This window comes from Homo sapiens, chromosome X (genome assembly GCF_000001405.40).
Source record: "Homo sapiens chromosome X, GRCh38.p14 Primary Assembly".
Taxonomy (NCBI): Eukaryota; Metazoa; Chordata; class Mammalia; order Primates; family Hominidae; genus Homo; species Homo sapiens.
In genome coordinates, this window is record NC_000023.11 from 119,522,533 (window position 1) to 119,537,421 (window position 14,889).

The window sequence follows — 14,889 nt, forward strand, 5'->3', positions numbered from 1 at the left end:
CAGAGGCTTGGCTAGTTACTGGCAATAGAGCAGTGAACAGGCCAGACATGATCTCTGCCTTCAAGGTGTTTACATTCTAGAGTGGCCCCTGAGTAGTCAACAGGCAATTCCATCAAGTTATGATGAGTTCCATGTTGGGGGTCCGGGAGGCTGTGAGTGGGCTCCATATTGGGCTGGGTTCTGGGCTTCAGAGCAGAAGCCAACAGGTTGTAGGGACACCTTTCTTGGGTTCAGGATCAAAGAGGCCAAACAGGAGTAGGGGAGCCATTTCTGATTGTGGGGCCTGCCTTTCAGCTCCCATTCTGAAGCTGGGAAACCAAACAGCTGTGAGTGAGTCTCACATCAGGAACAGAAGCAGCACAGGAACCAAACAAGCGTGGTCACTCCCGCCAGGGGTATCAGAACAGCAGATCCTACAGACCTGTTTCCTCATCAATCTCTCCTCGCAGAGACTACAAGCTCCCTGAGGGTAAGACCTAGGCCTGCCTTTCTCCCTCATTCTCTCAGTGCCCAGCACAAGGTTGGCACCTAATCAACACTCAGTAAACACAGTAGATGCTCAATAAATATTACTTGGATGAATGGATTAAATAAACATTTAATCTACTGTTACCCAGAACTTTACTCTTATTATTATTTTTTATTTATTTATTTTTTAAGACAGAATCTCGTTCTGTCGCCCAGGCTGGAGTGCAGTAGCATGATCTCGGCTCACTGCAACCTCTGCCTCCCAGGTTCAAGTGATTATCGTGCCTCAGCCTCCTGGGTAGCTGGGACTACAAGCATGTGCCACCACACCTGGCTAATTTTTTGTATGTTTAGTAGAGACGGGGTTTCACCATGTTGGCCAGGCTGGTCTCGAACTGCTGACCTCAAGTGATCCACCCGCCTCGGCCTCCCAAAGTGCTGGGATTACAAGCGTGAGCCACAACGCCCGGCCCGGAACTCTACTAGACTCTGGGGTATAGCAGTGAACAACAACAGAAAAAATCCCTGTCCCCACTAAACTTTTAGCTTATAGTGGGAGCACCAGACAATGAGCAAAATGAGCAAATATTTATATAGGGTTTTAGCGAAAAACTATAGGAGGAGAGGGGGATAGGAAGTATGAGGAGGCGATGAAATTTTAGATACAATGGTCAGCAAAATCCTCTGAGAAAATGACATTTTCTCAGACAAAATCAAGACCTGAAGGAAGTGAGGGTGGGCCGTTTGCAGATACCTGAGGAAAAAATGTCAAGGCAGGAATGTGCCTGGCATGTCTGAGGGCCAGGGAGGAGATCACTGTGGCTGGAGCAGAGTGAGCTGATAGGGACTGGAGTAGGAGTTGAGGTCAGAATGAATGAACAAGTGGAGACTGGGAATGGTACCAAGAAGCAGGGGAACCAAACCAGTTCCACAGCCAGAAGCCCTCCAAGTCCTGACTGGCCCCATGGGGAAAGGGAGAGGAGAGCCCCCACAAGAGTGCCTATTAACTCACACTCCTCCAGCTCCATTCCAAAGGCATGACTTGAGTCCCTACCCCATGCCCAGCCCTGAAACTCCTGGAAAAAAAGCAGGATATTCCTTGAACCTCCTCTTTCTCCTCAATTGGGAATAAGGGCTGAGCTGGCAGGAACAAGCTGAGATTGAGAATTGACCTGTAGAGCTTACACAGTCCACCCTTCCTCCAGAATATTCCATTTGTCCTTGGAGACAGCATGACGGAGCCATGATGGGCTCTGGCCATCTGTTCCCTCTGGTCCTTCTGAAAGAAAACACTTTCAGACCAGGCACCGTGGCTCATGCCTGTAATCCCAGCACTGTGGGAGGCTGAGGAGGGAGGATCATTTGAGGCCTGGAGTTTAAGACCAGCATGGGCAACATGGAGAAACCCTGTCCCTACAAAAAAAAAAGAAAAAAAAATATATATATATATATACTCTCTCTATATAGTATATATATAAGGTTGGTGCAAAAGTAATTGCAGTTTTTGTAACGTGATGGCAAAAGCCACAATTACTTTTGCACCAACTTAATATAAATATAGTTATATATATAATGCTTATACTTAAATATATAAAAGCCAGACGTGGTGGCACATGCCTGTTGTCCCAGCTACTTCGGAGGCTGAGGTTGGAAGGAACACGAGCCCAGGAGGTGGAGGCTGCCGTAAGCCAGCATCACACCACTGTACCCTAGTGTGGGCAACAGAGTGAGACCTTGTCTCAAAAACAAAAACAAAAACAAAAAACACTTCCAATTAGAGTCTTTAGACAGCACATTTCTTTGAAAGTTCCACTTTTCCACCCTCCTCCCTCACTCTGGCCCCACCACCAGAGGCAAAAAGAGTCACTGGCACTGCCCTCCTTTTGGGATCCCTGTGTCCAAGGAGGTGGGCCTGCACTGTCCCCAAAGAGTTCCAAGGTCAAACCCTCCATTATCTAAAAAATGGTTTGGGCCGAGCACGGTGGCTCATGCCTGTAATCCCAGCACTTTCGGAGGCCGAGGTGGGCAGATCGCCTGAGGTCAGGAATTCAAGACCAGCCTGGCCAACATGGTGAAATTCCATCTCTACTAAAAATACATCATTAGCCAGGCGTGGTGGTGGGCATCTGTAGTCCCAGCTACTTGGGAGGCTGAGGCAGGAGAATCGCTTGAATCTGGGCAGCAGAGGCTGCAGTGAGCTGAGATCGCGCCACTGCGCTCCAGCCTGGGCGACAGAGCGAGACTCCATCTCAATTAAAAAAAAAAAAAAAAGAATGGTTAGAAGGAACTCTTTAGACACTTTGGACACAAGCCCTTCACGATTTTTGTCTTACAAGTATGTTCACCTTCTCTGTAGCTTTTCTACCCTCGATAGCATCTTTTGATGAGCAGGTGCTTTTTTTTTTTTTTTTTTTTTTGAGAGGGAGTCTCGCTCTGTTGCCCAGGCTGGAGTGCAGTGGCACCATCTCGGCTCACTGCAATCTCCGCCTCCTGGGTTCAAGCGATTCTCTGCCTCAGCCTCCCGAGTAGCTGGGACTACAGGCGCCCGCCACCATGCCCGGCTAATTTTTGTTTTTGTTGTTGTTTTTGTTTTTTTTTTCTTTTAGTACAGATGGTGTTTCACCATCTTGGCCAGGCTGGTCTTGAACTCCTGACCTCACGATCCACCCGCCTCAGGCTCCCAAAGTGCTGGGATTACAGACATGAGCCACCGTGCCTAGCCTGAGCAGGTGCTCTTACACTGAATGCGGTATCCATCTTTTCTTTCATGGTTAGTGGTTTTGTCTTAAGAGGTCTTTCATTTCCCAGAGATAATGAAAATGTTTTTATTATTTTCTAGAAGTTTTACCACTTTGCTTTTTACATTTAGATCTCATTTACCTGGAATTGACTTTTGTGGATGATGAGAGGTAGGGGGTCAAGTTTTCTTTTTGCCATGGGAATAGACAATTGTCTTAGCAAAATTTATTACAAAAAAATTCTTTCCGGCCGGGCGTGGTGGCTCACACCTGTAATCCCAGCACTTTGAAGGCTGAAGCGGGTGGATCACCTGAGGTCAGAAGTTCGAGACCAGCCTAACCAACATGGTGAAACCCTGTCTCTACTAAAAATACAAAAATTAGCCAGGTGTGGTAGTGCGCGCCTGTAATCCCAGCTACTCAGGAGACTGAGGCACGAGAATCGCTTGAACCTGGGAGGCAAAGGTTGCAGTGAGCCGAGACCGCGCCATTGCACTCCAGCCTGAGTGACAAGAGCAAAACTCCATCTCGAAAAAAAAGAAAAAAGAAAAGAAAAAAATTATTTCCTCACTGAATAGCAGGGGCGCCTTTGCTGTACATCTAGTGACTGCACATGTGAGCCTGTTTCTGGACTCTCTATTGTTTCATTGATCTATTGTCCATCACTGGGCCAATACCATACTGTTTAAATTACTTTCAATATATAATAAAACAATATCTAGTAGAACAAGTCCTATCACCTTGTTCTTCAAGAGTGATATTGGACCTTTTCATTCTGTATAAATTTCACTCCTATTCTTGGACTTTCTCCTTGCTTTATAAATTTAAATTAGCTTGTCAAGTCTCCCCTGCCCCCTGCCCAGCACCACGTGGACATATGCACACGTGGACACACACACACAATTGTTGAGATTTTTATTGTGGTCTCACTGAATCTATAAATCAGTTTGTGGAGAACTGACACTTTAAAGCTATTGAGTCTTCCACATGAACACAGTGTATCATTCCATTTACTCAGGTTTTAATTTTTCTCAACGATATTTTATAGTCTTCTATGTAAAGGCCTGCATAATACTTCCTTAGATTTATCCTCAGGTATCTTTATGCTATTTTAATCATTTAATATGTCTAATTTTAAATGTTACGTTTCCAACTGCTGGTTACTTAGATACAGAATACAATTGGTTTTCTATATTAACCGCATGTCCAGCAACTTCTTTTTTTTTGAGACGGAGTCTTGCTCTGTCACCCAGGCTGGAGTGCAGTGGTGCAATCTCGGCTCACTGCAACCTCCGCCTCCTGGGTTCAAGCGATTCTCCTGCCTCAGCCTTCCGAGTAGCTGGGACTACAGATGCACACTACCACACCCAGCAAATTTCTGTATTTTTAGTAGAGATGAGGTTTAGTAGTGGCCAGGCGGTCTCGAACTCCTGACCTCGTGATCCACCCACCTCGGCTTCCCAACTGCTGGGATTACAGGCGTGAGCCACCGCAACTGGCCAACTTTTCTAAATTCATTTATCAATTCAAATATTTATTCTTCAGTTATTTTGGATATTCTATATACACAATCATGTTTTCTACAAATAATGATGTTGTTATTTCTTCCAAGTCTTTAAACGTTTTGTTTCCTTTTCTTCTCATTGCACTGGCTAGGATTCCCAGTACCATGGTAATAAAGGGAATCTTTGTCTCATTTCCAACTTCAGGAGGCAAGCTTTTAAGTATGCTTGCTGTAGGATTTTTTAATAGATGCCATTAATCATAATTTAAAAGTTTTCTTCTATTCCTAGTTCATTTCCATGTGTATCCTTACAATTAATCCCTCTCATTTTCTAACATTCAAAAGAGCCTAATTAAAACAATGATAAATGTGTCACTTTCTTTTAAATATTAATACCTCATATATTTTTCTTAAAAAAAAACTTTTTAAAACTAGAGACAGGGTCTCACCATGTTGCCTAGGCTGCTCTCGAACTCCTGGGCTCAAGCGATCCTCCTGCCTTGGCCTCCCAAAGTGCTAGAATTACAGGTATGAACCACCCTGCCTGGCTCCCACATTTTTCTTAATTTTTAATTGACACATAATAACTGTACATATTATGGGATACAATGTGATGTTCTGATACATGTATACAATGTGTAATGATCAAATCAGGGTAATTAACATATCCATCACCTCAAATATTTATCATTTGTATGTGATAACACTCAAAATCCTTTCTTGTATTTTGAAATATACATTATTGTTAACAATAATCATCCTATTGTGTAACAGAACATCAGAACTTATTCCTCCTAATTGTAACTTTGTACCTATTGACCAATCTCTGCCATCCCTCCTTCCCCCTCCCCAGGCTATAGTAACCACTGTTCTATCCTCTACTTCTATAAAATCAACTTTTTTTTACATTCAATATGAGTGAGATTATGGGGTATTTCCCTTTCTGCGTCTGGCTAATTTCACTTAACATAATGTCCTCTAGGTTCATCCATGTTGTTACAAATGATGGGATTTCATTTCTTTTTATGGCTGAATAATATTCCATCGTGTATATGTATATATATGCGCGTGTGTATGTATGTGTATATATACACACATACACACATATATATATATGAACTGGGATTGCTGTATCATATGGTAGTTCTATTTTTAATTTTCTGAGGAACATCCCATACTGTGTTCCATAATGGCTGTAGCAATTTACATTTCCACCAGCAGTATGTAAGGGTTCCCTTTTCTCCACATCCTCGCCAACCCTTACCTTTTGTCTTTTTGATAATAGCCATTCTAACTAAAGTGAGGTGATATCTCCCTCACATCACCTCACTTTGATTTGCATTTTCCTGATTAGTGATGTTCAGCATTTTTTCATATACTTGTTGGCCATTCTGTATGCCTTCTTTTCAGAAATGTCTATAAAGGTATTTTGCCCGTTTAAAAATCAGATTGAGGCCAGGTGCGGTGGCTCACGCCTATAATCCCAGCATTTTGGGAGGCTGAGGCGGATGGATCGTTTGAGGTCAGGAGTTCAAGACCATCCTGGCCAACATACCCCGTCTCTACCAAAAATACAAAAATTAGCCGGGCATTGGTGGTGCGCACCTGTAATCCCAGCTACTTGGGAGGCTGAGGCCTGAGAATCACTTGAGCCCGGACGGTGCAGGTTGTGGTGAGCTGAGATCGCACCACTGCACTCCAGTCTGGGTGACAGAGTGAGACCCTGTCTCAAAAAAAAAAAAAAAAAAAAAATCAGATTAAGGCCGGGCACGGTGGCTCACACCTGTAATCCCAGCACTTTAGAAGGCCAAGGCAGGTGGATCACCTGAGCTCAGGAGTTCAAGACCAGCCTGGCCAACACGGTGAAACTCCGTCTCTACTAAAAATACAAAAATTAGCTAGGCATGGTGGCGGGTGCCTGTAATCCCAGCTACTTGGGAGGCTGAGGCAGGAGAATCGCTTGAACCTGGGAGGGTGAGGTTGCAGTGAGCCAAGACCGTGCCATTGCACTCCAGCCTGGGCAACAAGTGCAAAACTCCATCTCAAAAAAAAAAAAAATCGGATTGAGTTTTTGCTATTGAGTTTGAATTCCTTATACAGTCTGGATATTAACCCCTTGTCAGATGTAGAATTTGCAAATATTTTCTCTCATTATGTAGGTTATATCTTCACTCTGTGGACTGTTTCCTTTGGTGGACAGCTTTTTAGTTTGATGTAATCCTACTTGTCTATTTTTGCTTTTGAGTTCATATGAAAAAAAAAAAAAAAAAAACCTTGCCCAGCCCAATGTCATAAAGCATTTCCCTTTTCTTCTAGCTGTTTCAGTTTCAGATCCTACATTTAAGCCTTTAATCCACTGGGTTAGTTTTTGTATATGGTGAGAGAGAGGGGTCTGGTTTTATTCTTCTGCATATAGATATGCAGTTTTCCCAGCAACATTTATTGAAGAGACTGTCCTTTCCCTAATGTGTGTTATTGGCGCTTTTGTTGAAAATCTGTTGGCTATAGATGCGTGGATTTATTTCTGGGCTCACTATTCTGTTTCATTGATCGATGCATCCCAGCAACTCGGGAGGCTGAAATATGAGAGTTTCTTCAGCCTGGGAGGCAGAGGTTACAGTGAGCTGAGATCGCGCCAATGCACTCCAGCGTGGGAGACAGAGTAAAACTGTCTCAAAAAAAAAAAAGCACCGATTCCATCTGGTTGTTTTCAAAAGGAAAAATTAATTGTATTTCTCTGAAAATGAAAATGACTGTTTTGGGAAACTCTAAGTTTACCATCCCTGGAGACTTTAAAGCAAAGGCTGGACCAGTATGTGTCTAGGAGGCTACACAGGAAATTCCTGCACACAAGAGAAGGTTAGAGGGTATGACATCTAAGGTCTTTTCTAAACTTCAGTGATGAAGATCCTGTGACTCTGCATTTCTATAAATCCTATCATTGGGCCAGGCACAGTGGCTCATGCCTGTAATCCCAGCACTTTGGGAGTCCAAGGCAGACAAATCACCCGAGGTCAGGAGTTTGAGACCAGCCAGGCCAACGTGGTAAAACTCCATCTCTACTAAAAATACAAAAATTAGCCGGGGGTGGTGGCACGCACCTGTAATCCCAGTTACTTGGGAGGGTGAGGCAGGAAAATCACTTGTACTCAGGAGGCGGAGGTTGCGGTGAGCCGAGATCGTGCCACCGCACTCCAGCCTGGGTGACAGAGTGAGACTCCATCTCAAAAAAATAAATAAATAAATCCTATTATTGTACTGCTTCTGCACCAGATCCCATTCCCTCCTGCCTACTCAAGTATATTGCTTCAGTTATTTTCTCTCTCCTGCATTATCAGTTTTTACTTCTCTCTTGGATTTTTCCTTATCAGCATTCAAATATGCTGTTATTTCTCCCATCTTGAAAATACTGTTAATCTTACTTCCCCCTCCAAATACCACCCCCTTTCTCTTCTTCCCTTTCATAGCAAAACTCCAAAAAAAAGTACCTATATTCACTACCTCCAATTCCTCTTCTTTCATTGTCTCTTGAACTCAGTCCTGCTAGCCTTTCGCTTATGCCACTCCATTCAAACACCTTGTAAAAGTTACCAATGACCTCCCCATTGCTAAATGCAGTGGTCATTTCCAAGTCCTCATCTTGTCTGTGGCATTTGGCAGATGATCATTTCCTCCTCCTTTAAACACAGGCTGGTCATTTGTCTATTTGCTCTCAGACTCATTCCCCGCTTCTCAAACTCCTGACCTCAAGTGATCCACCTGCCTCAGCCTCCCGAAGTTGCTGGGATTACAGGCGTGAGCCACCGTGCCTGGCCCCATTCCACTCTTCCCCTGCTCTGCTATGTGCAGCAGACAACATTTCCCAGGCTCCTTTCCCTCCTGACTTCCTGAGAGGTTTGGCCTGTGAATGGGAATCTTTGGCAGAAGACTGGAAAGCAAGAGAAGGGAAGAAGCCAGGGTATTTCCTCCCTTTCTCTCTGTTTTGAGCGTCATCTCCAGCATAGACTGTTATCTCTTCTGTGGCTCCCACTAGATAGTCACTCCCTCCATGGACCAAGCTCCTGCTGGGCTGGTGTTCCTGCTTCTGCTGGGTGGTCCTTGATCCCGGACTTGGGTAATACCACCTTCTGCTTTTGTCCCTCCAGCCCTAGAGGTGAAGTAGCTTCCTGCTGTTGCTAAATCTCTGGATCAATTCATCATCCCTTCCTGGGATTCTAAGGTCTTCTATCCCCTGAGTACCAGTTCCTCATGTTAAATTCTGTTTACAACTCTGAATACGTTTTGTTTTCTTTTTTTCTTTTTTAAAACGGTTGTTCGCTCTTGTTGCCCAGGCTGAAGTGCAATGGTGTGATCTTGGCTCACCACAACCTCCGCCTCTCGGGTTCAAGCAATTCTCCTGCCTCATCCTCCCGAGTAGCTGGGATCACAAGCATGCACCACCACGCCCGGCTAATTTTGTATTTTCAGTAGAGACGGGGTTTCTCCACGTTGGTCAGGCTGGTCTCGAACTCCCGACCTCAGGTGATCCACCTGCCTCAGCCTCCCAAAGTTGTTTTCTGTTTTCTTAACTGGACCTCGAGTCATGTAAAACACTTGCTTCTCTTCACTCTCAGTTTTACTCTGTCTTCATCCAGCCTTAGTAGCCATTCCTTTGCAGTCTTTTTTGCTGATTTCTCCTCCTCTCTTGACCATTAAATGATGCCCCAGGACTCAATCCTTGGACTTATTCCCTTTGCTATCTGTATTTAGATCTTTGGCAATTTCATCCTGTCTCATGGCTTTAAGTAACATCTATATACTGACAACTCCCAAATTTATATTTCTAGCTAGACCTTCCCAGTTGAGCTGACTACATATCCAACTGCCTACCTGACAACTCCACTTAGTCAACAGACATTTCAAACATAACATGTTCAAAATGGTGCTTGGCTTTCCCTTGAAAGCTGTTCTTCCCCATCTCAGTAAATGACACTTCAATTTGCCCAGTTATTCTAGCCACAATTGAGGAGTTATCCTTGATTCCCCTCTTCCCCTCACTTCTCACACCAAATCTATCACCCAGTCCTCATAGGAAAACCTCCAAAACACATCTCAAATCCATTCACTTTCTCCAATTCTTCTTTTACTACCCTGGTCCAACCATTCTCACCTCTCACCTGGACTACCGCCATGGTCTCCTAATTGGTCTCTCTGCTTCCATTCTGCCTCCCAAAAAGCCACTCTCCATGCAGCAGCTAGAATGGCTTTTTTTTTTTTTTTTTTTTTGAGACAGAGCCTTGCTCTGTTGCCCAGGCTGGAGTGCAGTGGCACAATGTCGGCTCACTGCAGCCTCTGTCTCCCGGGTTCAAGCGATTCTCACGCCTCAGCTCCAGAGTAGGTGGGACTACATATAGGTGTGTGCCACCACACCCGGCTAATTTTTTTATTTTTAGTACAGGTGGGGTTTCACCATGTTGCCCAGGCTGGTCTTGAACTCCTGACCTCAAGTGATCTGCCTGCCTCAACCTCCCAAAGTGCTGGGATTATAAGCGTGAGCCACCGCACCCAGCCTCGAATGACTTTAAAACATAAATTGGCTGGGCACGGTGGCATATGTCTGTAATCCAGCACTTTGAGAGGCCAAGGCAGGAGGATCACTTGAGCCCAGGAGTTCAAGACCAGCCAGGGCAACCTAGTGAGAAAAAAAGGACAGGACAGGACAGGACAGGACAGGACAGGACATGACAGGAAAAAGGGAAGGACAGGAAAAAGAAAAAGGAAAGGAAAGGAGGAATTTCTTTCTACAAAAAATAGAAAAAATTAGCCAGGCGTGGAAGCACGTGCCTGTAGTCCCAGCTACTACTTGGGAGGCTGACGTAGGAGGATTGCTTGAGCCCAGGAAGTTGGGGCTACAGTGAGCTATGATGGTGCCACTGCACTCCAGCCTGGGCAACAGAGACCCTATCTCAAAAAAAAGAAAAAAAAAACCTATAAATCATATCATGTTACTCCTCTGCTTAAAAGCCTTCAATCAATAACTTCTCACTGTATTTTTAAGAACCAAAATCCTTATTCAGGCCTGCAAGGCCCTACATGGCCTGGTTTCTGCTCACTCCTCTGACCTCGCCTCCTTCCACTTGCTTGCTTTCTCTTACTCACTACAACCTAGTCACACTGGCCTTATTTCTGTTCCTCCAACATGTAAACTTATTCCCTTTGTAGGGCCTTTGTCCTTTCTAATGCCATCATCACCTGGAACGCTTTCCCCTGATCCTTATATGGCTGGCTCATTCAGATCCTTCAGGTCTTATGTGGCTCAGTGTCCCCTCCTCAGAGCCCATCCTTGATTACTCATCACTCGCTATCATATCACACTATTTTCGTAGATAATTTTCTTGTTCACTTGTTCATCTGTCACCCCTGCCCTCAGAATGTGAGCTGCTTTGTTCTCTACTATGCCCCCAGCTCCTAGTGCAATATCTGGCATATAATAGATACTCAATGTATACTAGTTGAATGACTAAAAGTAGATTAGCCTTAAGTAGGAAGAGGGGGATCTCTTCCTCTGAGATTTGAAAGAGAAAAAGATGGAGGCAGACACAACTAAGTGTGCCCTTAAGTTGCTGGTGCTTTGGAGATCCCTCTCTGGTCATCTACCAAGAGAGAGAGCTTGCAGGGAGAGGCTTGAAGAAAGCAGCTGTAAACTGTTCCTTAGGGAAACAGGAGAGTTGCTGACCCAAAACATACATTAGGATTGACTAGCTGTGGTAAGAACCCATCTGACACTGGAACCATAAATTCACAGTGCCAAATATCCACTCATTGACAAGACATGAACACTCAACTATTTGGGTAAGACATCAGACAAAACATATTGTAGGACTGATTCTAAATTGAGAGTTTGTAGGACAGATGTTATAGTTTTAAAAGAAGGTAAGATCTACAATAGCACCGGAAAAATGAAGTACTTAGGTATAAATTTAAACAAAATATCTGCAGGACCTATACACGAAAAAAATAACAAAACACTGATGAAAGAAATCAAAGATCTAAACAAATGGAAAGTGGAAAGATACACTTTGCTCATGGGTTGGAAGATGTAATATTATTAAGATGTCAATTCTCCCCAACGTGATTTTTCGATTTTACACAATCCCAATCAAAATCCCAGAAAGAATACTGGAGATACCAACAAGCCAATTCTAAAATGTATACTGGAGGCCGGGAGCAGTGGCTCACACCTGTAATCCCAGCACTTTGGGAGGCTGAGGTGGGTGGATCACTTGAGGTCAATTCGAGACCAGCCTGGCCAATATGGTGAAACTCCGTCTCTACTAAAAATACAAAAATTAGCCAGGCGTGGTAGCATACACCTGTAGTCCCAGCTACTCAGGAGGCTGAGGCAGGAGAATCTCTTGAACCTGGCAGGTGGAGGTTGCAGTGAGCCGAGATTATGCCACTGCACTCCAGCCTGGACGACAGAGCGAGACTCTGTCTCAAAAAAAAAAAAAAAAATTAACAACCACACAAAAAAATCAAATAATCTAATTTTAAAATGATCAAAAGAACTTGAATAGACATTTCTCTAAAGATGATATACAAATGGCCAACAAGCATATGAAAAAATGCTCAACAGCACTAATCATTAGAGAAATGAAAAAAAAAAAAAGAACCTACAATGAGATATCACCTCACATCCATTAGGATGATTACTATTAAAAAAATAAAAATAAAAAAATAACAAGTGTTGGTGAGGATGTGGAGAAATTAGAGCCTTGGTGTATTGTTGATAACATTGTAAAATGTGGCCGGGCGCAGTGACTCACGCCTGTAATCCCAGCATTCTGGGAGGCTGAGGTGGGCAGATCACTTGAGGTCAGGAGTTTCAGACCAGCCTGGCCAACATGGTGAAACTCCATCTCTACTAAAAATACAAAAATGAGCTGGGCATGGTGGCACACACCTGTAATCCCAGCTACTTGGGAGGCTGAGGTGAGAGAATCACTTGAGCCCAGGAGGCAGAGGTTGCAGTGAGCTGAGATCGCACCACTGCACTCCAGCTTGGGTGACAGAGTGAGACTCTGTCTCAAAAACAAACAAAAAAAGATTGTAAAATGGTACAAGTGCTGTGGAAAACAGTATGTATGGAGGTGCCTCAAAAAATTAAAAATAGAACTACCAGCAATTTCACTTTTGGGTATATATCAGAATTGAAAGCAGGGTCTCAGAGATATTTGCACACTCATGTTCATTGTGCTACTATTCCACAATAGCAAGGGGTGGAAGCAACCCAAATGTCCATTGACGGATGAATGGATAAACAAAATGTGGTATAGACATACAAGGGAACATTACTCAGCCTTAGAAAGGAAGGTGTTCTTCCTTTCTAATGATTCAACATTGAGGACATTATGCTAAGTGAAATAAGCCAGTCACAAAAAGTTAAATGTTGTATCATTCCACTTACATGAGATATCTAAAGTAGTCAAATTCATAAAAACACAAAGTAGAATGGTGTTACCAGGGGTTGTGGGGAGAGAGAAAGGGGGAGTTGTTACTTAATAGGTATAGAGTTTCAGATTTACAACATGAAAAAGTTCTGGAAATCTGTATCACAACAATTCAAATATACTTAACACTACTGAACTACACAATTAAAAATGGTTAAGATGGGCCAGGCACGGTGGCTCACGCCTGTAATCCCAGCACTTTGGGAAGCCAAGGCAGGCAGATCACAAGGTCAGGAGTTTGAGACCAGCCTGGCCAACATGGAGAAACCTCATCTCTACTAAAAATACAAAAACTAGCCGGGCATAGTGGCAGGCGCCTGTAATCCCAGCTACTTGGGAAGCTGAGGCAGGAGAATCGCTTGAACCTGGGAGGCAGAGGTTGCAGTGAGCCGAGATTGCGCCATTGCACTCCGGCCTGGGCTATGACAGCAAAACTCCGTCTCAAAAAAAAAAAAAAAAAGAAAAAGAAAAAAAAGAAAGGTTAAGATGGTAAACTTTATGTGTTTTTTACCACAGTTTAAAAAAAAAAAAAAAGGAAAACAGTATGTTCCACACCATCTGCCATTAGGGAAATGCAAATTAAAATTACAAGATACCATGAAGAAACTGTTGCAAATTAGAGACCAAGGAGACATGGGCAGAGTGACATGGAACCTAAAATGGCTCAGGCAACCTAGTTTTTTAAAAATCTTTTCAATTTATCTTAAAAAATAAAGTGACATTTCCAAATGTCACTAATTAATAGAGAACATTTTGCAACATTTTAATGTTTTGTCATACTTGATAATTTGCAAAAACAAAAACAAAAATATGATAAGACTCTCCAAAATGTCAACATGGCTCTTCATACCAACAGCAAAACGCTGTATTTCCTGTTAAAATACAAGTTAATAAAGAAAATAGAGAAACTAAATACTAACATATCATGTTATTTTAATAACTATTTAAATATGAGGTGTGGTGGCTCACACCTGTAATCCCAGCACTTTGGGAGGCTGAGGCAGGTGGATCACAAGGTCAGGAGATGGAGACCATCCTGGCTAACACAGTGAAACCCCGTCTCTACTAAAAAAAAAAATACAAAAATTAGCCGGGCATGGTGGCAGGTGCCTGCAGTCCCAGCTACTCGGGAGGCTGAGGCAGGAGAATGGCGTAAACCCGGGAGGCGGAGCTTGCAGTGAGCCGAGATCGTGCCACTGCACTCCAGTCTGGGCGACAGAGCGAGACTCCATCTCTAAAAAAAAAAAAAAAAAAAAGAGTAAAACATAATGAAAAGCATATGCTTGCTTGGTGCTAATGACGTTTTACAGTCTTATAGATGAAGCAACATGTGTAATTTCAACCAGATGTTGAAATGGTTTAGGATTAGTATCTAAAGACAAGTATTTCAGAAAATATGTAGAAAGGTAACCATACACTTGCTACAGGGGGTCCTCTATGCAACTGTCTTGACTTTGCACTTTATTTTTCAAAATGAAATTATAATCTGTTCTGAATAACATATATGTTTTAAGTTCATAGAGGGAGTTCAGCATAGTTAAGAGCTCAGGTTTTAGAGTCAGATTTTTGGCTTTATTGCTTACTGGGCTATAGGATCTTGAGAAACTTAAAACTCTCTGAGCCTCGGAGTACTCATTTCTAAAACAAGGATGGTAACAGTTAATCCTGTCCCGTAGGATGTCGTGTTGTT